General features: G+C 48.4%; 1 protein-coding gene, 1 long non-coding RNA gene and 1 pseudogene across 5 annotated transcripts in view, besides 4 other annotated features; 1 reads left to right on the forward strand and 2 right to left on the reverse strand.

Moving 5' to 3' along the window:
- Positions 1–16,600, forward strand: part of CPEB1-AS1 (CPEB1 antisense RNA 1) — a 45,051-nt gene extending 28,451 nt beyond the window's left edge. Inside the window, exon 4 of the long non-coding RNA NR_046096.1 lies at positions 15,791–16,600. This is a non-coding gene — a long non-coding RNA (CPEB1 antisense RNA 1). The remainder of the gene's footprint in view (positions 1–15,790) is intronic.
- The window catches only part of AP3B2 (adaptor related protein complex 3 subunit beta 2), a 50,595-nt gene that overhangs the window by 16,940 nt on the left and 9,387 nt on the right, over positions 1–24,268 (reverse strand). For 2 of the 4 annotated variants that reach the window (NM_004644.5, NM_001278512.2), the window contains exons 2-14: positions 13,158–13,233; positions 12,938–13,012; positions 12,516–12,611; positions 5,200–5,360; positions 4,892–4,958; positions 4,617–4,799; positions 4,252–4,535; positions 3,955–4,009; positions 3,509–3,580; positions 1,885–1,947; positions 1,451–1,583; positions 1,054–1,163; positions 241–417 (exon numbers count right to left, since the gene is read on the reverse strand). In NM_004644.5, coding sequence (NP_004635.2) covers positions 241–417; positions 1,054–1,163; positions 1,451–1,583; positions 1,885–1,947; positions 3,509–3,580; positions 3,955–4,009; positions 4,252–4,535; positions 4,617–4,799; positions 4,892–4,958; positions 5,200–5,360; positions 12,516–12,611; positions 12,938–13,012; positions 13,158–13,233 — 1,552 coding nt within the window. Of the gene's footprint in view, positions 1–240; positions 418–1,053; positions 1,164–1,450; positions 1,584–1,884; positions 1,948–3,508; positions 3,581–3,954; positions 4,010–4,251; positions 4,536–4,616; positions 4,800–4,891; positions 4,959–5,199; positions 5,361–8,842; positions 12,279–12,515; positions 12,612–12,937; positions 13,013–13,157; positions 13,234–24,268 lie in introns of those variants that run through there. The other 2 variants (NM_001278511.2, NM_001348440.2) reach the window with 2 other exon arrangements.
- Positions 4,092–4,241: a silencer, noted in NCBI's record as "silent region_6751". NCBI's record gives its function as "represses an Ori minimal core promoter by ATAC-STARR-seq in GM12878 lymphoblastoid cells {active_cell/tissue: GM12878}" and the evidence as "EXISTENCE:reporter gene assay evidence [ECO:0000049][PMID:35858748]".
- On the reverse strand, positions 15,306–16,232 carry LOC100421235 (serine and arginine rich splicing factor 9 pseudogene; annotated as a pseudogene).
- Positions 17,539–17,689: a silencer, noted in NCBI's record as "fragment chr15:83362511-83362661 (GRCh37/hg19 assembly coordinates)". NCBI's record gives its function as "represses an EF-1alpha promoter that drives an FKBP-Casp9 reporter gene in an ReSE screen in phorbol 12-myristate 13-acetate-treated (for megakaryocytic differentiation) K562 erythroleukemia cells {active_cell/tissue: K562(+PMA)}" and the evidence as "EXISTENCE:reporter gene assay evidence [ECO:0000049][PMID:32094911]".
- Positions 22,460–23,252: an enhancer, noted in NCBI's record as "H3K27ac-H3K4me1 hESC enhancer chr15:83367432-83368224 (GRCh37/hg19 assembly coordinates)". NCBI's record gives its function as "activates a minimal SCP1, AML or CMV promoter by ChIP-STARR-seq in naive H9 embryonic stem cells {active_cell/tissue: H9 hESC(naive)}" and the evidence as "EXISTENCE:reporter gene assay evidence [ECO:0000049][PMID:30033119]".
- Positions 23,253–24,043: an enhancer, noted in NCBI's record as "H3K27ac-H3K4me1 hESC enhancer chr15:83368225-83369015 (GRCh37/hg19 assembly coordinates)". NCBI's record gives its function as "activates a minimal SCP1, AML or CMV promoter by ChIP-STARR-seq in naive H9 embryonic stem cells {active_cell/tissue: H9 hESC(naive)}" and the evidence as "EXISTENCE:reporter gene assay evidence [ECO:0000049][PMID:30033119]".

Raw genomic sequence — 24,268 nt, forward strand, 5'->3', positions numbered from 1 at the left:
CTAGCAGACTGGAGGTCACAGCTTCATAGGAGAGTCTCTTCAACAGTGACCACCAGCACTACAAGGTCTTTGTGGGCACTGGGGTAGCATTGGTTATGTGGGCAGACCAGCCACCTTCCCTGATTCTTCTTTTCCAAAATAGGAGCTAGAGTTCAGCCCTGCCTAGGGAGGGCCAAAAGAATACTGTCTAGGGAGTTTCTGGGGACCAGAGTATCTGGGGGGTCATCTCTTAATCTTTACCTGTTTAGAGTTGGTCAGGTAGAGCTTGGCTGCCAGGTTGATGACCTGCAGCTTGACAATATCCTCCTCTGCTGTGAATGACTTGGCCATTTTTCTTAAGACATCAGGTGCAATCCTGGGGACATGCTCACAGTACTCTCCGATGAGCCACAGGATGCTGGCTCGGGCCATGGGCACCTGTGGTTGTGGGAGAGGAGTGAAGATGGGTAAATACGGGAAAGTGGGTGGGTAGGATTGTGGACTTCCAGGGAAACAGCACTCCTCATCTGTGCTGGCCTGTTGTATTATGGGTTCTCTGGAAATGGGAGTTGGGGGTGGTGAGATAGAGAGAGGTTAAAAGGTAGACATTTCCTAGACAGCATTTCCCCTCTTCCCTAGGGCTTCATTAGCATAGAGCTTTCAAGACCCTAAGTCAGTCATGATGTAAAAGATTGATTTTCTGGATTCATTGTACCCTCAGTACTTTATTTCCATGTTACTCTCCAGAATCTTTGGGAATGCCTTGTTTAGATGTTTCAGCTTAGCAGTGCGATAGAAAAACACAAGATTTGTCACTCAACCATGGTTGGCTAGAGCTTTAGAGAGAAAACAAGAGTAGTAGTAAAGTCCATCGTGCTCATTGAGGGTCTCCAAAGGGAAAGCAAATCAGGGGTAACAAGGTCAGGGTCACATGGTCCAGTGTCTCTGCTCCTTCCACCTGAAGACCTAAGGTTTGGAAGTTACTTTTGATAAGGCTAGCATATGTAATTATACAGTCTTGAAATCATGGGGAGGACCTTGAAGTGGGGAGTGAAAATATGGCTTCTCCCTCACCTGGATGTTGTCTGTAAGCTTTGCCAAGTGTTTGATGATCTCTCCATGTTGTGCTGGCTGCATCTGTAGCAATTTCTTAATGACGACCACTGACTCTGCAACCACAAGCTCTACAGAACAAAAATGAGTGTGTGGACCCCAAGACAGTCAGATGGCCACACTCAGGTGGACAGACACACCTGCAGTGCCCCAGGCCCTTGGCTCTTTCTCTCAACCCCCTTCAGTTCTCTAGCAGCCCTCAGAGGTGTAGGAACACTTGGGCCCTGATCAAGACAGACAGACCAATGGATACACATTGTGTCTAGGCAGACTGGTGGATATCCAGTGGCCAGCAGAGTCAGACCTGCAGGCAGACACCCTCTGATCATCACGGTTAGACACTCAGGGAAACACTGACCATCACGGTTGGACAGCAGCTGCACCAGGCCATTGAGGCAGGTGTCACGGACTCGGCCGATGTTAGTTGCACAGCGTCCAATGGCCTGGATTGTGGCTGCCACAAAGTCCTTGTCCATGCTGCGAATATAGGTCTGTGGGATATGACAAAGAAATCCCTCAGTGACTCTGCAGGCTTGAGGGTGACCTTCAAGAAGGCTGTGGCCTTTCATTTTATGGCTTATCATGCCGGTGACTAAGACTTGGGAAAGGGGGTGACAACTCCACCCCCAATCCAGTGATTCCTTGGCCCAAAGCCAGCCAAACACATTGGAACGGGAATGTAAGATAATAGTTTCTCCAGCCTTGGGCTCATAAGAGGAGGTTTACCCACCAGGGCACAAGGATCTGATGGGCCCCTCTCCCAGGCCCTTCTGGCTGGGAGCTGGCCTGTACCTGGAATTCCCGTAGGACAGTAGGAATGTTGGTCTCATTGGCCAGGTTGGTCAGCACTTCCAGCTGCAGGGAGGGTTGGAGAGGCAGAAAATGGGTGGGTTGGCCAGTGGACTTTCTGTGCTTTCATTCCAAATACACTTCATAGACCAGAAAACAATCCTCATGACAGCCCTGCATCATCCTCACACTGATGAGGGAATTGACAGGTTATGAAACTTGTCTAAAAAGCAAGAGGACCAGTTTGCCTCTTAAGTGGATTCCCTACACAGTATGCTTACAGTATGACCATGTCACCTCCCTACTGCATTGAAAACTTAAAGCTTCCTATTGCTTTCAGGATGGAGACCATCGTATTCACCATGGTCTGTAAGTCCCTGAATGATCTGCTTGCTGTCTACCTCCCATCTCCCATCACTGTCCCCCTTGTCTTCCAGGCCCCAATCCCACTCCACTTCCTAACCCAGGGTCTTCGCAGATGCTGTTTCCTCTGCGTGGAGCAGTTCTTCCCATTTCTGTCCCTGCATAATTCATGTTCATCTCTCAGGCTTCAGCTCAAGTCTCATATCCTCCGGGAAAACTTCCCTGGCACCAGACTAGATGAGGTCTCCCTATTTTATGCCCTTATAGCTCTCCACACTTTCTTCCATATTTTGTAAGTGGACTTTTACATTTGCCTTGTGATTAACTGCTTAATGTCTCCTCCTCCCCACATCTGTAAGCTCCACAAAGGCAGGGTCCCTGATTAGTTTGCTCATCATGTACCCCTAGAACATAGTGGATGTTCACAAGGGTTAGGAAGATTAACTGTTGCTGAAGGAAATCACTCAATAATGAGGCAGCAGAGCAGGAATCAAATGGAGGTATGGGCTCCCGCCACTTTCCTTGTCCGTGAATGTTTGCAGGAGAGCCTGAGGGGGCAGGTGTGTGGGGGCCATAACACTGTGGGTGGGAGAGAAAAGTGTGAACCTTGGAGTCAGCAGAATTATGTGACCTGGGGCAGTTACCTCCCAGAGTCTTTTTTTCTTTTTCTTAGATTGAGATGGAGTTTCGCTCTTGTCACCCAGGCTGGAGTGCAATGGCACAATCTCAGCTCACTGCAACCTCTGTCTCCCAGGTTCAGGCAATTCTCTAGCCTCAGCCTCTCGAGTAGCTGGGATTACAGGCACCTGCCACCACGCCTGGCTAATTTTTGTATTTTTCGTTGAGACGAGGTTTTGCTATGTTGGCCAGGCTGGTCTTGAACTCCTGACCTCAGGCGATCTGCCTGTCTCGGCCTCCCAAAGTGCTGGGATTAGGCGTGAGCCACTGTGCCTGGCCAGAGTCTATATTTTTATAAAAGGAATATAATGTACACATCCTGGGATTATTATGAGGTGATATCAGGTTACTTCATTTATGAAGAGTAGCAGGTGTATACCAGGTACTAGGCAAAGAGCAGTTCCCTTCTCCCCCTGACCCTCCTTAGCCCAGCTCCCTGAACAAACAGCTCCAGCTGGGGCAGTCATGGGCTCCTGGGCTCAGCCCCAGGAATAGGCAGGCACCAGGGGGGCCACTGTGAGTTATTTGAGTGGGTACATGGGGTGGGGAGGGCTGGGAAGCACATGCACTTCTGTCCCTCACTCACCTTCAGGATCTTAATCTGGGTGGGGTCGGTGGACCTGATGTAGAAGCTCTTCAGGTAGGGCTCAAACATACCCTGGCACAAGAGAGGCAGCTAGGGAGCTCCACCGAAGCCCCAGGCCTGCCTCGCTGCCCAGAGACACCCCTCCTATCCTGACCCAGCGCCCAGGATCCTTGCCTCCTCACCACTGCCCTCCACTCCTCAAGTCTTCCCTCGTCCATCTCAGATCTGACTAGCTCTTTTTCCACTGGACATCCCCTCAGCGGCCCCTCAGGATCCAGGCCCTGCTCCCTATCTGTATTTGGAGCCTCCCCTGCCCCATCCTCTGCACAGCCAGGGTATTCCTCCATCTTCCCTTTCCCCGGCCCCGGTCCCAGCCCCGACAACGCCTCCAGTGCCCGCAGAAGCGGCCCTCGGACAGCGAGGACAGCCCGCCGTCGCAGGCTCACCCGGCGCTTGATGGACATGGTGGCCACGTTCTGGAGCACAACGTACTGCACCTCACTGCGGAGAGGACGGGTCAGAGCACCCCGGGCCCCTCGGTTGGGGCAAGGGTCAGCGGATGAGGGGAAAAGGTGGGGCAAGTCGTTGCGGGGAGAGGACCAGTGCGGAGGGCAGGACTACGGTCAGTGTGGAGCGGGTGGGCAGAGGTGGAAGCGGCTGGTGGGCGTGAGGGGGCGGAGCCGGGCAGCCCGTGGGGCGGGGCAGGAGGCGAGGGAGGGGGCGGGGCTGGGGGCGGAGCGCACCTGTGGCTGCGCAGCAGGCGCACCAGCGCCTTGGCGATGACGCCCACTTCCGCCTTGGGCGCCAGGTGGAAGTAGAGCTGCGCCACCGCCATCACCACCGCGGCGCTGCGGCTCTGCAGCAGGGGTTTGGTGTTGCGCAGCAGCAGCCGGTGGTCGGGGTCCATGACATAGGGCTTTCGGGAGGGGGCGGCCGCGGCGGCCGTCTCCTCAGACCCCGCGCCCTTGGCCTCGTCCTCCTCTGAGCCGTAGAAGGCTTTTTCCGCGTTCTCCTCTAGTAGGGATTCCTGGACGGGGAGACCGACGGGTCTGTGGGCGCCTCCCCGGGACACACTTCGGCCCGCTCTGCCTGGGCTGGGCCCACTTACGTTCTGGGTGGGGCTCAGGAACTGCGTGCGGGCGTAGCGGGTGAGCATGCTGATGATGACCACCTGGCCCCACTCCTCCACGTCGATCAGCAGGTTACAGAGTTTCCGGTAGTTTTTGTGAATCAGGTCGATGCGCTCCGGGCAGACCTCCTCAAAGGCCATCACCACACTGCCCGCCACCAGCTGGGGAAAGAACAAAGACGAGAGGGTGAACGCGAAGGGTGGAAGGCCGGCTGCCGGTCACCACCCCTCCCGGAGCGCCCCTATACACGCACCGTGGTCTTGTCAGCCAGAAGCTTCTCAATGACTTCTATCAGCTGATCCTTCTGGTCAGAGTCCAAACTGAGGGAGAAATCGGTGAGGGGAATTTGCCACTCTCAGCCCCAGCCTTCCCAATATCTGTCCAAGCCATGCTCACCTCCTGCACCCCAGCCTTATTGTTCTCCTCCATCTCTGTCAGTCCCCCAAACTACCCTCCTCAAACCCTCTGAGAAGCAGCAGGCAAGACTTAGGAAAGGCCAGGGGTGGGTTGAGAACTTAGGAACCAGCCTCCTGGGGAGCGTGGGACAGGGCTGGGGCATACCTGTAGAGTTTAGGGATGGCGTGGGCAGCTGTTTTCCGCACATAGGGTGACATGTCCGAGGCGGCTTCCTTGATAGCTAGCATCATGATGGGCACTATGATGGGCACACGGATGCTAGAGAGGACACGGAGGGCACTGGCACGAATCAGCTGGTTGGGATCCTAAAGGCAGAGGTGGAGGCAGAGCTATGAAAGGGCACCAGGTGCCCTGATGGGGGGAGGCCACACCTTTGGAAGTCACTGTCCCCAGCGACCACTAGCTCTTGCTTCCCTGCCGCTTGACTGGAGCCTGGATGGTGTGCCAGTGATGGGTATCTGGGGGACACTTAATTTTGGCTCTGGTTGCAGAAATCTGACACCTGAACAGGTGTTGCAATGGGTAGCTTCACTTCCAGAAACACTGAAAAACTTTCAGAACACCTAAAATTGCTGAAACACCTGAAACACTTCCTGTTCCTTGTAAGGGTTTTTTTGGAGGTGCCTGTTTTAATGCCTGAGGTGACCGCCCAGCAGATGCAAGCTGGTCTCCCTTCCGGAGTTCAACCTTACACTCCTTTCTCCCAGAAATCATTGCAAAAGCTGCTGTTCTTCCACAGTGTTTAAAACAAAATAGGGGTGTAGGCCCTTCCTTTTTTTTTTTTTTTTTTTTTTTGAGATGGAGTCTCGCTCTGTCGCCAGGCTGGAGTGCGGTGGTGCAATCTCGGCTCACTGCAACCTCCACCTCCTGGGTTCAAGCGATTCTCCTGCCTCAGCCTCCCAAGTAGCTGGGACTACAGGCGCGCACCACCACACCCAGCTAATTTTTTGTATTTTTAGTAGAGATTAGGTTTCGCCGTGTTGGCCAGGCTGGTCTCGAACTCCTGGCCGCAAGTGATCCGCCCACCTCGGCCTCCCAAAGTACTGGGATTACAGACGTGAGCCACCACGCCCGGCCCCAAGCCCTTCTTCTTTATTCCTACTGCATCCTATACAGAACGTATAAAAGCATTCCTTACACTGTATTGTGATCATGGGGCTTAGGACTGTCTTCCCACTATCAGCAGCAGCAGCTATATATTACAGGCATACCTCGGAGATATTGTGGGTTTGATTCTAGACCTCAACAATAAAGCAAATATCGCACTAAAACGAGTCACATAAATTTTTTGTTTCCTGGTGCATACAAGTTATGCTTATAGTTACAGCTGCTTGGGAAGCTGAAGTGGGAGAATCACTTGAGCCCAGGGAGTTGGAGGCTGAAGTGAGCTACATATGTTCATGCCACTGCACTCCAGACTGAGCAACAGAGTGAGATCCTATCTCCAAAAAAAAAAAAAAAGTTATGTTTACAATATACTGTAGTCTACTAAGCATGCAATAGCATTATGTCTTTAAAAAAACAATGTAGGCTGGGCGTGATGGCTTGTGCCTGTAATCCCAACACTTTGGGAGGCTGAGGTAGGAGGATTGCTTGAGCCTAGGAGTTCAAGACCAGCCTGGGCAACATAGGGAGACCCCAGTCTCTACAAAAAAAAAAAAAATTGAAGTCAGTCCTCTTAAACTCTGCCTCTGCTTTATCAACTAAGTTTATGTAATATTCTAAATCCTTTGTTGTCATTTCAACAATGTTCACAGCATCTGCACCAGGAGTTTTTTTTTTTTTTTTTTTTTTTTTTTTTGTAACGGAGTCTCGCTCTGTCGCCCAGGCTGGAATGCAGTGGCGAGATCTCGGGTCACTGCAAGCTCCACCTCCCAGGTTCACGCCATTCTCCTGCCTCAGCCTCCCGAGTAGCTGGGACTACAGGTGCCCGCCACCATGCCTGGCTAATTTTTCTGTTTTTAGTAGAGACGGGGTTTCACTGTGTTAGCCAGGATGGTCTCGATCTCCTGACCTCGTGATCCACCCACCTCGGCCACCCAAAATGCTGGGATTACAGGCGTGAGCCACTGCACCCGGCAGATTCCATTTTAAGAAAGGACTTTCTTTGTTCACTCATAAGAAGCAAGTCCTCATCCATTCAAGTTTTATCATGAGATTGCAGCAATTCAGTCACATCTTCAGGCTCCACTTTTAATTCTACTTCTACTTCTAGGTAGAATTCCACCACATATGTAGTTACTTCCTCCACTGAAGTAGTGAACCCCTCAAAGTCATCCATGGAGTTTAGAATCAACTTCTTCCAAACTCCTGTTAATGTTAATATTTTGACCTCCTCCCATGAATCATGAATGTTCCTAATGGCATCTATAATGGTAAACCTTTCCAGAAGGTTTCTATAAACCTTTCCAGAAGGTTTTCAATTTACTTTGTCCAGATCCATGAGAGGAATCACTATCTATGGCAGCTCTAGCCTTACGAGATGTATTTCTTAAATAATAAGACTTAAAAGTCAAAATTACTCATTGATCCATAGGCTGCAGAACTGATTTTGTGTTAGCAGGCATGAAATCATTAATCTCCTTGTACCTCTCCATCAGAGCTCTTGAGTGAACAAATGCATTGTCAATGAGCAGTAATATTATGAAAGGAATCTTTAAGCGGTAGGTATCAACAGTGGGCTTAAAAAATTCAGTAAACCATAACTGCAAACAGATGTGCTGTCATGGCACTGTTGTTCCATTTATAGAGCACAGGCAGAGGAGATCTGCCATAATTCTTAAGGACCCCAGGATTTTCAGAATGGTCATTGAGCACTGGCCTCAACTTAAAGTCACTAGCTGCATTGGCCCCTAACAAGAGCCAGCCTGTTTTTTAAAGCCAGGCATTGACTTCTCTCTAGGTAGGAAAGTGCTAGATGGCATCTTCTTCCAGTAAGAGGCTGTTTCATTTACATTGAGCATCTCTTGTTGAACATAGTCACATCTATCAATGATCTTAGCTAGATCTTCTGGACAACTTGCTGCAGCTTCTCCATCAGCACTTTTGCTTCACCTTGCATTTTTTTGTTATGGAGATGGCTTCTGTACTTAAACTTCATGAACCAACCTCCACTAGCTTCCGTCTTTTCTTCTGTAGCTTCCTCACCTCTCTCAGCCATCATAGAATTGGAGAGATTTAAGACCTGCCTATGAATTAGGCTTTGGCTTAAGGGAATGTGGTAGCTGGTTTGATCGTCTATCCAGACCACTTAAATTTTCCTATATCAGCAATAATCCTGTCTTGCTTTCTTTATCATTCATGTGTTTACTGGAGAAGCACCTCAAACTTCTGGGTTCAAGTGATCCTCCCACCTCAGCCTCCCAAGTAGCTAAGACTACAGGTGCGTACCACCACATCAGGCTAACTTAAAAAAATTTTTTATAGAGACGGTCTTGAACCCCTGGTCTCAAGTGATCCTCCTGCCTCGGCCTCCCAAAGTGCTGGGATTACAGGTGTGAGCCACCACGCCCAGCCTGGAGTAGCACTTTTAATTTCCTTCAAGAACTTTTACTTTGCATTCACAACTTGGCTAAATGTTTGGAGCAAGTGGCCTAGCTTTCAGCCTATCACAGCTTTTAACATACCTTCCTCACTAAGCCTAACCATTTCTAGCTTTTGATTTAAAGTGAGAGATGTGTGGTTCCTCCTTTCACTTGAACACTTAGAGGCCATTGTAGGGTTATTAATTGATCTAATTTCAATATTGTTGTGTCTCAGGGAATGAAGAGGCCCAAGGTGAAGGAGATGGGGGAACAGTCAGAACACACACAACATTTATTGATTAATTTCACTTTCATGTCTGAGCATGGTTTGTGGCACCCCAAAACAATTACAATAGTAACATCAAAGATCACTGATCACCATAACATATAATAATCATTAAAAAGTTTGGAATATTGTGAGAATTACCAGAATGTGACAGAGGCACAATGTGAGCACATACTGTTGGAAAAATGGCACTGATAGACTTGATTGATGTAGGGTTGCCACAAACCCTCAATTTGTAAAAAGTGCAATATCTGGCAATATCTGCAAAGTGCAATACAATGAGGTGTGCCTGTACTATTACTCTTAGAGAATGACGGGAATAGAACACTAAAGAAGGGTAGATATTACCCTGACTTTCTGAAATGGAAAAAGACAAGACAAGATCCTCACAATTGCAGGTAAAATTGATGCTAATTCCTGACAAAATTCTGGAATTGACTTTTAAACAGATGGGTTAGAAACATTTATTGAAAAGGAAGGAGTCTCTGTTTTCTTAGAGACAAATAGTCACATCATCTGCTTAAACCTGTTTTCCTTTTTTGTGTGTGAGCATTTTATTTGGGAAATGATTATAGATTCACAGAAAGTTATCAAAAAAAATGTGTTTTCCTTTTTGATGGGGTAACTAGGCCGGTGGATATTAGTATCTTGATTTCAGTGATATGTTTGTGGAAGTCTCATAGCATTTCCTGCATTGCTATTTTTTAGGTAGGCCTTTTGTTTCACCTAATAGCCAAGCATTTTTAAGAGCAGAATTCACATCTGTTTTATCTCTGTGTCACCCACAACCCTTTGCACATGAAAGGTGTTATTTATTTATTTATTTATTGCTATTGAATAAGATCCTTCCTAACAAGATAGAAAAATGCCAGCTGTCTGTACAGTCAGGTGGGTCTACAACGTGGTGAAATATACTTGGAGAAGGTTTATTAACAGATCAGTGTCAACCTGGAAACATGCTATGCCTCAGTCTTTTGCCCTGGTCCAAATAGCTTATCAGTATCTTGAAAGAAGACACAAAATCAGGAGGGACATAATTAAGATTCAGAATCACCCTGGTTTGGACCCTGTGCTAAACTGATAAAATGAAATAGAGTAGGGTTTCATAGGGGGTTCAAGGGACCAACTGTACAAAGACAGGATGTAGGGAGACCTGGATTATCTGCTTGCCAGTCAGAGGTTTGATTCCATGAGGGATCTCCTAAGAAAGTGAACACGGCCCTAGCCTGGGCTAGGATTGAAAGAAGGGAGAAGGCTGGATTGAAATGATTGGTTCCAACATGCAGGAGAGACCAAAAGCCAGTGACAACAAAAAAGAAAACAAGTTTTAAAGGAATACATATGTAGTACGATGACACCATTTACAAAACATTTTATATTGCTTAACAATATGCAAATTACTAGCACAGGAATAAATACATACCTATGAATGATAAACAAGAGAAGATATATAGGAGGCTTTGGCTATTTGAGAAATGTGTCATTTCTTATGGATATTCATTATATTATTCTTTATGCCTTTTGTGAACCTGTAGTAAATTTTATTTTATTTTTTAGATACAGGGTCTCCCTATGTTGCCCAGGCTGGAGTACAGTGGCTATTCACAGGTGCAGTCATAATGCAGTACAGCCTGAAATCAATTTTTTTTTTTTTTGAGATGGATCTCACACTGTCGCCTGGGCTGGACTGCAGTGGCACGTTCTCGGCTCATTGCAACCTCTGCCTCCCGGGTTCAAGCCATTCTCCTGCGTCAGCCTCCTGAGTAGCTGGGATTATGGGCACCCGCCACCATGCCAAGCTAATTTTTTGTATTTTTAGTAGAGATGGAGTTTCACCATGTTGGCCAGGCTGGTCTTGAACTCCTGACCTTGTGATTTGCCTGCTTCGGCCTCCCAAAGTGCTGGGATTACAGGCATGAGCCACCACACCCAGCCTGAAATCAATTTTTAAAAATTATAGTTGTGGAGGTTTCAACAAAAGAGAATGGTTTAAAAAACACCCCAAATAGTGGTAGTTGTCTTGAGATGGAGCAAGTTGCCTTATGAAGGAGTGAGGTCCCTATCAGAAAAGATGACCTGTTAGACATGTTCTAGAGCAAAGGCTGGCATGCTACAGCCCTTGGATAAAATCTGTCTATTGCCTGTTTTTTATATAGATTTATTGGAACACGGCCACGCCCACTTGTCAATGGCTGCATTTGCACCATAAGGGCAAAATTGAGTAGTTGCATAGTTGAGACTATAAGGCCTACAAAACCTAAAATACTATTTGGCACTTTGCAGAAAGAAATTATCACATTGAGTTGAACTAAATGAGCTCTGGTTTTCTAAAAGGGGGACAGGGTCAGTTGGTAGAGACTATAGGTGAAAATCTGTACAACAATTTCAGATTAGTTTTTATACTTAACCCTTACTCAAACCAAAAGATTACTTGCCAATCTAAGACGGATTCCATGGTTTTGACTTATAAAAAGAAATCTAGCACAATGTGTGGCATAGAGACACCCAAGTATTTACTAAATGAATGAATTGTATATTCAAGTGACCATGCTTTCTACTCTCACCCCAAAGAAGCCGACTGTCAACCCCTCTTGCTGGCCATAGCAGATTGGACAAGGGGTGGGCCCTGGATTTGAGCAGCAATCCTGTCTACCCAGCAACCTACAGAACTTCTGGATATGAAAAGATGAGCTGGACCTTTCACAATCTCTCTCACAGAAATTTGAACTAAAAGTATCCAGGCTAGGAGTATTAGCTCATCCCTGTAATCCCAGCACTTTGGGAAGCTGAGGCCACTTGAGCCCAGGAGTCCAAGACCAGCATAGGCAACAGGGTGAAACCCCATCTCTACAAAAACTACAAAAAAATTAGCCGAGCATGGTGATGCAGGCTGAGTAGTCGCAGCTACTCAGGAGACAGAGGTGGGAGAATCACCTGAGCTCAGGGAAGTCGAGGCTCCAGTGAGCCATGATTGCACCACTGCACTCCAGCCTGGGCAACACAGTGAGAACCTGTCTCATAAATAAATAAATAAATAAAGGTATGCAAAAATAGAGGAGTTAATGGTTGTAATCAGAGCTGAAAAATCCAATATGGAGAGAATGGCCTTGAAATGGCTGTCTTTACCCTCAAGATGTCTTAGACTAACCAGAAAAGCCCTTAGGGGGGAGACTTATACATGCACCTAACATATGTAAATCCAACTAGAGGCCTTGGGCAAAATGAAACAAAAGGTGAGAATGGTGTGGGGGATTCAGGCCACTGCTAAAGGTTGAAATCTACCTGGCTGTGGACCACAATTCACACCTTTACACAAAGGGGGGTGAGGGTTGAGGGGTTCTCCATTGCTAGAGACTCTCCACTCTCCGGGGGCTCAAGTGGTTCATACTAGAAGCAGCCATTACCACAGGCTCCTGGGAAGAGAGACAGGGGCCCTGGGTACCCACTTCATCTCTTACGCCCCTTCTGAGCCCAGCTTCCACTCTCTGAGGGTCTGGCTGGCCTCTTCTGACTGTGACCCTCCCAATTTTAGGCAGGTAGGAAGGGGTCTGCAGAGCCCGCTCCCATGCTCATGGCCTCTCCCCAGGCCTACTCCTCCGATACAGCGCCAACGAGGCCCAGGCCCTGGGAGGCAAACTGAGACCCCTGACCTTTAGGCCACGTTGGAAGGTGGAGATGGACAGCAGGGCCAGGTCTTGCTGCTCCTCAGCGTAGCGTACCAGGTACACATAGACAAGCTTCTTCACCTTGGGGAGAGCACGTTTCTCAGCAGAACGCTTCTCAGCAGGCACCTGTGCCCACCCCCCTACCCCTGGGATGTCATCTCCCCAGCCAGCTGCGGTCCATGGGGACAAACTCTCCCAGTGGGGGAGAGCACCCCTGAGTGTATCCGGGTCCTTTACCTTGATCCACATCCAGTTCAGGGACATGGAGACAGTGTCTTCTCCTGGCTCAGAGACATTTCTCAGCAGGTCGGGCCCCCAGGGGCTAAATCATTTCCTTCCTCACCCCAAGCTTGAGTGTGGTCCTGGGGGAGGTGGGGACAAGCAATCCCTCACCAGGTAGTGCTCACCTCTATGTTCTTACAGGCCACGTTCTTCACCACCGCGGGAAACAGGTCTGAAGCATTCTTTCCTCGGGCAATCATCTGGGTGGTGGGGTCAAGGTAGGGGAAGAGGGACAAAGCGAGAGGCACAGCACTAACTAGAGGGAAGGTCTACAAGGAGCTAAGGAGAGCTGCTCTTGGCCACCCAGGCCCCGCCCGGAGGGAGGCCTCCTCCTTCCCCTCTTACCGCCACAATCCTCTTCATGGCCTCCAGCTTGAGAGAATCCTTGTTGGTGTCCAGCATCTCCTTCAGGTCATCATGCCTGGTGGGAGGTACAAGAAGTCAGCTGAGGGCACAAGGGTGGGGATGGGGTATTAATCAGGAGGGTCCAGGCACAAAGAAGGGACATGGCCAGGGGAGGCTCAGGCAGGACCTGACCCGAGGAGGGACCAGAGCCAGGGGGAACAAGTAAAGTACAGATCAGGGGAAACATGTGGCCAGCTAATATTGTGGGTTGAACTGTGTCCTTCCTAAAAAGGATATATTTAAGTCTTAACCCCTAGTACCTCAGAATGTAACCTTATTTGGAAATAGAGTTGTTGCAGATGTAATTAGTTAAATGCAATCCTACTCTAATAGAGTGGGTCTCTAATCCCATGTCTGGTTTCCCATAAGAAGACAGCCATGTGGGCTGGGTGTGGCGGCTCACGCCTGTAATCCCAGCACTTTGGGAAGCTGAGACGGGAGGATCACTTGAGCCCTGGAGTTCGAGACCAGCCTGGCAACATGGTGAAACAATGTGTCTACAAAAAATAGATTAAATTGAAATTAAAAAAACACAAAAAACAAAAGACAGCCACTTAAAGAGACAGACACAGGGAGACTACCATGTGAAGGCAGACGATTGGAAAGATGCGTCTACAAGCCAGGGAATGCCAGAGACTGCCAGCAAACAACCAGAAGCTAGAAGGGGCAAAGAAGGATTTCCCTATGGGTTTCAGAGGGAGCATGGTCCTGCCGACACCTTGAGTTCAGACTTTTGGCCTCCAGAGCTGTGAGACAATTCATTTCTGCTGTTCCAACCAACCCAATTGTTGTACTTTTTTTTTTCAATTACTAAACTTTTTTTTTTTAATTATACTTTTAAGTTCTAGGGTACATGTGCACAACGTGCAGCTTTGTTACATATGTATACATGTGCCATGTTGGTGTGCTGCACCCATTAATTCGTCATTTACATTAGGTATTCCTCCTAATGCTATCCCTCCCTCCTCCCCCAACGCCACAACAGGCCCCAGTGTGTGATGTTCCCCACCCCGTGTTCAAGTGTTCTCATTGTTCAATTCCCACCTATGAGTGAGAACCTGCAGTGTTTGGTTTTCTGTCCTTGCAGTAGTTTGCTCAGAATGATGGTTTCCAGCTTCATCCATGTCCCTACAAAGGACACGAACTCATCCTTTTTTATGGTTGCATAGTATTCCATGGTGTATATGTGCCACATTTTCTTCTTCTTTTTTTTTTTTTTTTTTTTTTTTTTTGTGAGATGGAGTCTCGCTCTGTCGCCCAGGCTGGAGTGCAGTGGCGCAATCTCGGCTCACTGCAAGCTCCACCTCCTGGGTTCATGCCATTCTCCTGCCTCAGCCTACCGAGTAGCTGGGACTACAGGTACCCGCCACCACCACGCCCAGCTAATTGTTTGTATTTTTAGTAGAGACGGGGTTTCACCGTGTTAGCCAGGATGGTCTCGATCTCCTGACCTCGTGATCTACCCGTCTTGGCCTCCCAAAGTGCTGGGATTACAGGCATGAGCCACGCTGGGATTACAGGCATGAGCCACCGCACCCAGCCATGCCACATGTTCTTAATCCAGTCTATCACTGATGGACATTTGGGTTGGTTCCAAGTCTTTGCTATTGTGAACAGTGCTGCAATAAACATACGTGTGCATGTGTCTTTATAGTAGAATGATTTACAATCCTTTGGGTATATACCCAATAACGGGATCACTGGGTCAAATGGTATTTCTAGTTCTAGATCCTTGAGGAATCGCCACACTGTCTTCCACAATGGGTGAACTAGTTTACACTCCCACCAACAGTGTAAAAATGTTTCTATTTCTCCACATCCTCTCCAGCACCTGTTGTTTCCTGACTTTTAATGATTGCCATTCTAACTGGTGTGAGATGGTACCTCATTGTGGTTTTGATTTGCATTTCTCTGATGGCCAGTGATGATGAGCATTTTTCTTAAACGTTTAAAACATATTTTTAAGCAGAATGGGCCAACTCAGTCACAGTAACTGTTGATCTCCATAGCAGAGCAACCCACAAAGACGGAACTGATTTTTTACCCATATTCAGGAGTGAAAAATATACAACTTGTTTCTGAACCAAAACCACAATTTCTGCAGTTTAAAATGTTTCACTGCTAATATGGCCCTGGTAGAAAGTATGTAGTTTTTTTTTCTTCTTTAAAAAAAAAAAATTAAAATAATTTCCTAAGACGCTAAATCCTCAATCTGGAATGCAGATTCTGAGCACAAAGCAGCTCAGTTAACCTAAAAAATAAAGAAAAAATTCCCATCACCTGTCTCAGTAGGGCCTGAAAGGAGAGAAGTGGTGTGGGGAACCCCGGCTTTAGTATGGAGAGTCACGGCCCCTTGACCCAAACCGAGACTGTGAGTAGCCATAGCTGGTGCTTCTCTCAGGATAAACTCAGATGTAGGAAGTTTCACTATCATGAGAGTGGAATTTAGTGTCATCCAATTTATGCAGGGCATATTCCATGTCTTCTTTTCTGAGATACTCAACCATCCCCACACCGTCCTTCTGCACATCGGCATAACAGACATCCCCAACTTCTCGCATGTGATCCTTCAGGTCCTGCCAGCTGCCTGAGGAAGTCCTGAAACAAGAACTCGGAAATCAGATCTTCTTGCAGAAGGCCCATTCCTCCCACCACGGGGCCACCCACCCCGACTTCGTAAGTCCTGGAGAACTCCACACGAAGCCGACACTGGCCATAATCATAACTATTTCTTCCATAAATAGCATCCTCTGCATCTCGGGGGTCCTCAAAGCGCACCAAGGCGAAGGGCACAAGGCAGTGCCCATTCTTAAGCTTGATCTTGCGGATCCGGCCGTACTTGTAGAAAAGGTCTTCCACGTCCTTCTCGCGCACGTTGGAAGGCTCACCACGCAGATGCGCTCATCCGCCCAGCCCAACATCGGCACCTCCCAACGCCCCCTCCCCGCAATCCCCCCGCAGCGTCCCCGCGGGCTCTGAGGCGCTCAGCCGCACTGCACTGTGGGAACGAGAAGCAATTGTGGTACTTTTGATACAGGAGTGTAGGAAATGAATGTAGCCAGAAACAGAGAGCCAGGAAACAAGAGGAAGGGTTTGGGGTGGGAAAGTATGGACCTGGCTCAGGGAAAAGGACTAGTTGGATGGATAAGAAGGACCAGCGGAAAAGAGGTAGATGCCAAAACAAGAGCAGGGTGCCCTTGCCCTGCCTCCAGTATGTTTCCAAGTCCTGACCTCTCAGACCAAACTGATTCCAGGGACTGGAAGGGTCCCAGAGACTCCATAGATGGCCTCACAACAAAAGCCAGACCTGTCACTGAACATTGAACAGCCATTCAAGGAAGTCATTAAACTCTAGTGGGATGAATAAAGATTTGAGTAAGTGATCCCTTGCACTTGGCTGAGAGGAATAAGGGTAATGCTGAGCCAATACACAGGTTTCTTTTTTTTTTTAGATCTCATACTTCATTTCAAAAATTTGAAATTTCAAAGGGAACATTTTGTCAAACTTAAGTGACAGCAAAATTCATCTGGAAAAAAAAAATCAGTAGGTAAGAACTCCAAAGAATATTTTTGGGAAAAGAAGGAAACAATCATAGACAACTCACCCTATTGGACTTCAAAACATAAACACCACGAGACGATGATAAAAGCTGTTTGGTACCAGGTTAAAAACAGAAGGTCAAAGGTCATGGGGGGAATTTCATAAAAGGTCTAACTTGATAAATTACGAACCAATAAGAATCTCCCCCCGCCCCCACCCCCCCGCCCCCGCCCCACTTAAATAAATGCTATTGGGACAACTGCTTTGCAGCACTTTTTTTTTTTTTAGATGGAATTTTGCTCTCATTGCCCAGGCTGGAGTGCAATGGCACGATCTCGGGTCACTGAAACCTCTGCCTCCTGGGTTCAAGTGATTCTCCTGCCTCAGCCTCCCAAGTAGCTGGGATTACAGGCATGCACCACCACGCTCGGGTAATTTTTGTATTTTTAGTAGAGACAGGGTTTCACCATGTTGGTCAGGCTGGTCTCAAACTCCTGACCTCAAGTGATCTTCCCGCCTCATCCTCCCAAAGCGCTGAGATTACAGGTGTGAGCCACCACACCTGGCCAGCAGCAAATAATTTAACTTGTATACATATTTCACCCCAAAATAAATCCCGCATTTGCTTAACAGTTAATTATTTTTAAATACAAAAGAAGGAAGGGAAGATTTTATTAAGGTCATAAAATTATTAGCAGCAACAATATGGCTAGGTTTAATTGGTACGTTTTTGTTTTTTGAGACAGAGTTTCGTTCTTGTTGCCCAGGCTGGAGTGCAATGGTGCCATCTCAGCTCACTGCAACCTCCACCTCCTGGGTTCAAGCAATTCTCCTGCCTCAGCCTCCAGAATAGCTGGGATTACAGGCATGCGCCACCATGCCCAGCTAATTTTTGTATTTTTAGTAGAGATGAGGTTTCTCCATGTTGGTCAGGCTGGTCTCAAACTCCCGACCTCAGTTGATCCGCCCACCTCAGCCTCCCAAAGTGCTGGGATTACAGGTGTGAGCCACTGCGCCCAGGCCTTTTTTTCGTTTTTCTGTTTGAGACGAAGTCTCGCTCTGTTGCCCAGGCTGGAGTGCAGTGGCGCAATCTCGGCTCACTGCAGCCTCAACCTCCTGGGTTCAAGTGATTCTCATGCCTCAGCCTCCTAAATAGCTGAGATTACAGGTGTGCACCACCATGCCTGGCAAATTTTTTGTATTTTTAGTAGAGTTGGGGTTTCGCCATGTTGACCAGGCTGGTCTCAAACTCCTGGACTCAAGTGATTTGCCTCCTTCGGCCTCCCAAAGTGCTGGGATTACAAGTGTGAGCCACTGTGCCAGGCCTAGGTTTAATTTTTAAACTTTGGTATCTAAAAACTAAATTTATGAGAAAAATAAGGCAACTATACTAGCTTCCTAGAACCACCATAACAAAGAACCACAGGCCAGGCATGGTGGCTCACACTTGTAATCCCAGCACTTTGGGAGACTGAGGCAGAAGGATTGCTTGAGCTCAGGAGTTGGGACCAGCCTGGACAACATAGTCAGATCCTGTTTCTACAAAAATAAAAAAAATTAGCCAGGCATGGTGGCACATGCCTGTAGTCACAGCTACTCAGGAGGCTGAAGTGGGAGGATCGCTTGCACCAAGATGTTGGAGGCTGCAGTGAGCTATGATTGTGCTACTGCACTCCAGCCTAGGCAACAGAGCAAGAACCTGTCTCTAAAAAAAAAAAAAAACAAGAAGTACTACAGATGGTGGCTTAAACAACATAAATTTATTTGCTCACAGTTCTGGAGGCTGGAAGGCTGAGATTAAAGTGTCAGCAGGGTTGGTTTCTTCTATAGCCTCTTTCTTTGGCTTGTAGATGATTCTTGTGATATTGTAAAGAAATATATATTTGGTCTCTATACCCCATTTCTGAGACAGAGCTCCTAAAACTCTTGACAATAGGGATGCTAGGAGAACTTCTGTTCTAATATTTGGTCTTCCACCCAGTTCCTCACGCAGAGATCCTAAGACCTTTATAACTTCCTGAGTGAGAGGAACAACTGACATGGAAATCCCTTGGAATTTCCTGGGTGATAGAAGCATCTTTTGTTATCAGATGGTTGGAACTTTTTTTCTTTCTTTCTTTTTTTTTTTTTTTTTTTGACACTGAGTCTTGCTCTGTCGCCCAGGCTGGAGTGGTGCAGTGAGGCAATCTCGGCTCACTGCAGCCTCCACCTTCTGGGTTGAAGCAATTCTCCTGCCTCAGCCTTCCAAATAGCTGGGACTACAGTTGCCCACCACCACACCTGGCAAATTTTTGTATTTTTAATAGAGATGGGTTTCATCATGTTGGTCAGGCTGGTCTCGAACTCCTGACCTCAAGTGATCCACCCGCCTTGGCCTCCAAAAGTGCTGGGATTATAGGCGTGAGCTGCTGTGCCCAGCTGAGGGTTGAAACTTTCAATCCCACTATTTGACCTCTGGGGAATGGGGAGTGGGGCTGATGGTTGAGTTGATCACATGGCCAAAGATGCGATCAATCATGAAGCCTTCATAAAAACCCAAGAGGATAGGGTTTCGAGAGCTTCCAGACTGTGGAACATGTGAAGGTGCCTGGAGGGTGTGGTGCCTGGAGAGGGCATGGGAGCTCTGCACCCCTCCTTCCATACCTCTCCCTATGCATCTCTTCATCTGGTGTTTGTCTCTACCCTTTATAATAAATGGGTAAATATAACTAAAGTTTCCCTGAGTTCTGTGAGCCACTCACAGAGTTGAACCCAAGGAGGGTGGCATGGGAACCCCTGATTTATAGCCAGTTGGTCAGAAGTATAGCTGACAACTTACCACTTGGAATTGGCATCTGAAGCAGAGAGCAGTCTTGTGGCACTGAGCCCTTAACCTAAAAAATCTAACACTAGATTGACTTGAATTAGAGAACACCCAGTTAGTGTCTGCTGGAGAACAGGTTGTTGGTGGGGAGAAATCTCCACCCATTTTTGTGGCCAGAGGTGAAGCACTCTCTGGTGAGCGGTGTGTATGAGAGTAGGAGAAACACACTTTGGGTTTTTCTGTCTCTTACAACCATCTTCTCTGTCTTCACATGGTCTTCCTTCTGCGTGCCTATATCCAAATTTCCTCTTCTTATAAAGAAATCAGTCATATTGGATTAGGGCCCCCCTTAATAACCTCATTTTAACTTAATCACCTCAAAGGTAACATTCTGAGGTACTGGGGGCTAGAACTTCAACATATGCATTTTGGAGGGACACAATTCAGCCCATAATAGCAACAAAAGGAAAAATATTTGGGATATGGTAAATTAAAGTTTAATATTCGAAATAGAGGCCAGGTGTGGTGGCTCACGCTTGTAATTCCAGCACTTTTGGAGGCCAAGGTGGGCAGATCACTTAAGGTCAGGAGTTCGAGATTAGCCTGGCCAACATGGTGAAACCCCATCCCTACTAAAATTACAAAAATTAGCCGGGCATGGTGGCACACACCTGTAATCCCAGCTACTCAGGAGGCTGAGGAACGAGAATCGCTTGAACCCAGGAGGCGGAGATTGCAGTGAGCCGAGATCGCGCCACTGCACTCCAGCCTGGGTGACAGAGTGAGACTCCATCTCAAAAAAATTTAAAAAAGGAACTGATATACATGTATAAGGTCTCTTTGCAGCATTCACTGTCAGGGCTGCTACAAGCCCATTTTCAATCTGCATGCCCCTACAGATAGACACAGCCCTGAGCTGTTGCTCCCCATTCTGTGTGTGGAGCATGGGCTGGTATTCCTTGGCCAGATGCCCTTGTGCAGTGAACAATGTGGCTAACCATACTCAGAGGATGCAGAACTGGTGATCACGAAGTGATCAGAGAATTGTTAATAAACCCATGAAAAAAATGTGTCTATATATAGCTGATAGAATTGTGTGAAACTGATGCACTCATATGTTGCCAAGACAATTCCAAAATGTGGTGAGCAGCTGTGTGTGGGGACTCACACACACTAATTTCCCAGATGACACTCTGATAACCCACAGCTTTGACCCAGGCACAAGAACCCAGCTTGAGAAATATCACAGTGATAAAAATTAAAAATCAGGCCGGGCACGGTGGCTCACGCCTGTAATCCCAGCACTTTGGGAGGCCAAGGCAGGCGGATCACAAGGCCAGGAGATCGAGACCATCCTGGCTAACATGGTGAAACCCCGTCTCTACTAAAAAATTTAAAAAAAATTAGCCGGGTGTGGTGGCGGGCGTCTGTAGTCCTAGCTACTCAGTAGGCTGAGGCAGGAGAATGGCGTGAACCCAGGAGGTGGAGCTTGCAGTGAGCCAAGATCGCGCCACTGCACTCCAGCCTGGGCAACAGAACGAGACTCCATCTCAAAAATAAAAAATAAAAAAAAAATCAATGTGTGCAAAGTTAGTCACAGACATGCAACATTTAGAAATGACAGAAAATCAGAAATTGGGGATAGCACTGTTAGGAGAGGAAAGAGCATGATAACAATCATAAAGTGGCAAATGACTGCTGCTAATGCTGAGAAACAAGTGATGAATGCTGAGAGGAAGAGAAGAACCAGACAGAACACGCAACTTAGTCACAGGGCTGCAGAAATGCGTGAGTACCTGACGTCAGACAAGAAGAGGGGCACTAAGAAGTCACTATCCCAAGAATGTTAGAAACTGTCTTTCCCAAAGAGATTTTTGATGGAAAGCAAAATAGAAAGATGATGCCTTCCAGCATTATCTGAGGCCCTCGCTATCTGTCATGTGAGGACAGAAGAAAATATCCAGCCCCATCATGTTATCTGAAACTCCCTCACCTGGGGGGATGCCCCCCAAATCAGAGGACACCTTCTACTCTTCCAGGGTCAGGCCAGGGCCAGAAGACAATCACCCTCTTACCCTGCCAAACACAGACCAGACTGTTGAGTTTCTTAGTGGGTAGGAGGCTGAGCTCAGGACACCAGGGGCATGGTCATAGGTACAGACCATTGAGCTGGGTAGGCGTGGGCAGCACCGAGGGCCTAGGAAAAATGACAGAGCTGGGCACCAGCTTCCCTGAGATATGAATGCACAACACTCCACGTCAGGATCCTTCATACGCACACCCCACAGACAACTACACATTGATACCACCCACATATACCTCAGACACTCCCATGTCCCCCGACATACCTACACCTCACGGACAGCTCATACAAACATACCTACAGGTCCCGCAGACACTAGTAGAATCCATACATAAACCCACGCACACCCACAAAATCCTGCCTACACAACGCCCAGAGAAACACACTCCCCCACATACAGACACCTCCCACAGAAAAACTCTACACACATAAACCACCCACACAACTCACCTACACACCTACAAACCCCCCAGACATATACCACCAGGAGACCTCTCCCCACTCTCCCACACCCTCTTATAGACACACATATCCCATACATGTCCCCTACAGACATATATCACAAGACCTCTCCCCGCTCCCCCACACCCTCATAGAGACACACACACCCCACACACGTCCCCCTACACACACACACACATGCCGCATCACATCTAATACACAGATAACTTGGACCAAACTTGGCCTCTCCAGTCTCATTCACCAAAATGGTCAGTGGACTCCTAGTTGAGATTTTTGATGATAAATGTAGGCTTCTAAGATCAAATATATCCAGCCCCAAGGGTCCTCTGATCTTCTGAGGAGTCACCCTGGGATGGCTTTTCCCTGGGCTTCCGTGGAAGGAGGGCCAAGTTTGCCCAATCTCCTTTAACTCTGGGTATTCCCTTCCTCACCACACCCACAAATGCCACATGCGCCTGTCAAATGCACACACCCCAGGGCATCCTCCCCACCCAGCCTAGTGAGTACATTCCAGGCCCCTGCAGGAGAAGGGGAATGAAAGGGGGCAGGACCACTGGGCCTAAAGCAGCCAGCACAGGTAAGATTGACTGTCGAATATGCACTGACACAGAATATGCACTGACACAGACCGCAGCCACCACCTGAGGTGAGACCGCCCTGGGCCTCTCGTCCTCACTCCCACCAACTTCTGTTCCCAAGAGGCAGAGGCAGGGACTAAGGCACAACACCCTAAGGCCATGAAACATTATCTCCCATAGTCAGATCCCCTTACGCTGCTGCACTCACTCTGACCTGACCCCTAGTCTGACCTAGCCTAAGGGACTCTTCTGGGGGTGGCTGGAGCCAGCCAGGGGGCCTGGCATGGCACTGGGGGTCAGTCATGCTCACCTCCCTTGATATACACCTCGCTGTCACCTCTTACCACCTAAGTTCCAGTCCACTGGCAGGCAGTGGCTGGCCAAACCCTGTCTGTGCTGTATCCTGTCCCCAAACCTCGTCCAGAGCCCACTCCAGTGGGGGCCTGTGGGGAGAAAGAGGTCAAGGTGGGACCTCAACCCTCAAATATTTTACTATCCTCCTCCCCTCAGAGCCTCCAGGGAGTTAAGCCCCTCATCTCTCCTCACTCATACCCTCAGCCCCCATACGGTGCCCCTGACCACCTTCTCCGCCCAGCCTGGACCCTAAATGCCAGCCTAAGCCTCCATCAGAGGAGGTGGGACCGGAAGAGGTCTGGGCTGAGAGTGCAACTGCCCATCCCTGGCCTTCCTGGCTGTGTGGGTAGGGGGTTCCTGTGGGTTCCTCTATACCGTAGTGGCTGGCTCTGGCTCTGGCTGGCCTCTGGGCAAGGTCCTTCCAGAGATGCTTCTGGGGTCGTGTCTTCCTCCTGGGCCTGCAGCCACCGAAGCTCCTCAGGCTCCAAGGCCTGGTACCGGAGTGGGGGCCCACCTTCGGGAGCCAGCACAGGGCTAGCAGCCTCTTGATCAGCTCCGCAGGCCCCTCTGACCCCAGGCCTCACCACGGCCCCCGGGAGCTGCAGGAATCGCTGCATCAGGTTCTTCTCCAGGAATGGACTGAGCTGGCCAGGGCGCTGGGGCTCCTGTCACAGTCACCAGATGGCCCGCCCCCAAAACTTGGTAACCGGACACTGGCAGGGAGGGATGCTCCGGTTTCCTCTTCACTGCTCAGAGACAAGGCCTCTAGAGGGAAAGAAGGGCAGGGACAGGAGACCAAGCCTACCCCTAGTCTCTGGGCAAGGGACTAGATGGTCAGTGGAGTTGATAGAGAGGTGAGAGATGCCCTCTTCAGCTCCAATCCCACTGCCACAATTAGACTGCAGCCTCCTGAGAAATCTCATATACCCTCTTCTCACTGACCCTAGGCATCTTAATCCTCACCTGCCTTTCCAGAGCCAATACTTGATTTATTCCTTCCCATCAACCTTCTCTTATCTCTACTTCCTCCTAGCACCCTCCCCCGCAACCCCTGTGTCTATCCCTCCAACTGCTCTCACATCCTTGGCCCTCTTGTCCCACTGGTCTCCAATGCCACTGGCCTGCCAGTGGTGGGTGGCTTTTTTTTTTTTTTTTTTCAGATGGAGTTTCACTCTTATTGCCCAGGCTGGAGTGTAATGGCGTGATCTCGGCTCACTGCAACCTCCGTCT

This window comes from Homo sapiens, chromosome 15 (assembly GCF_000001405.40).
Source record: "Homo sapiens chromosome 15, GRCh38.p14 Primary Assembly".
Taxonomy (NCBI): domain Eukaryota; kingdom Metazoa; phylum Chordata; class Mammalia; order Primates; family Hominidae; genus Homo; species Homo sapiens.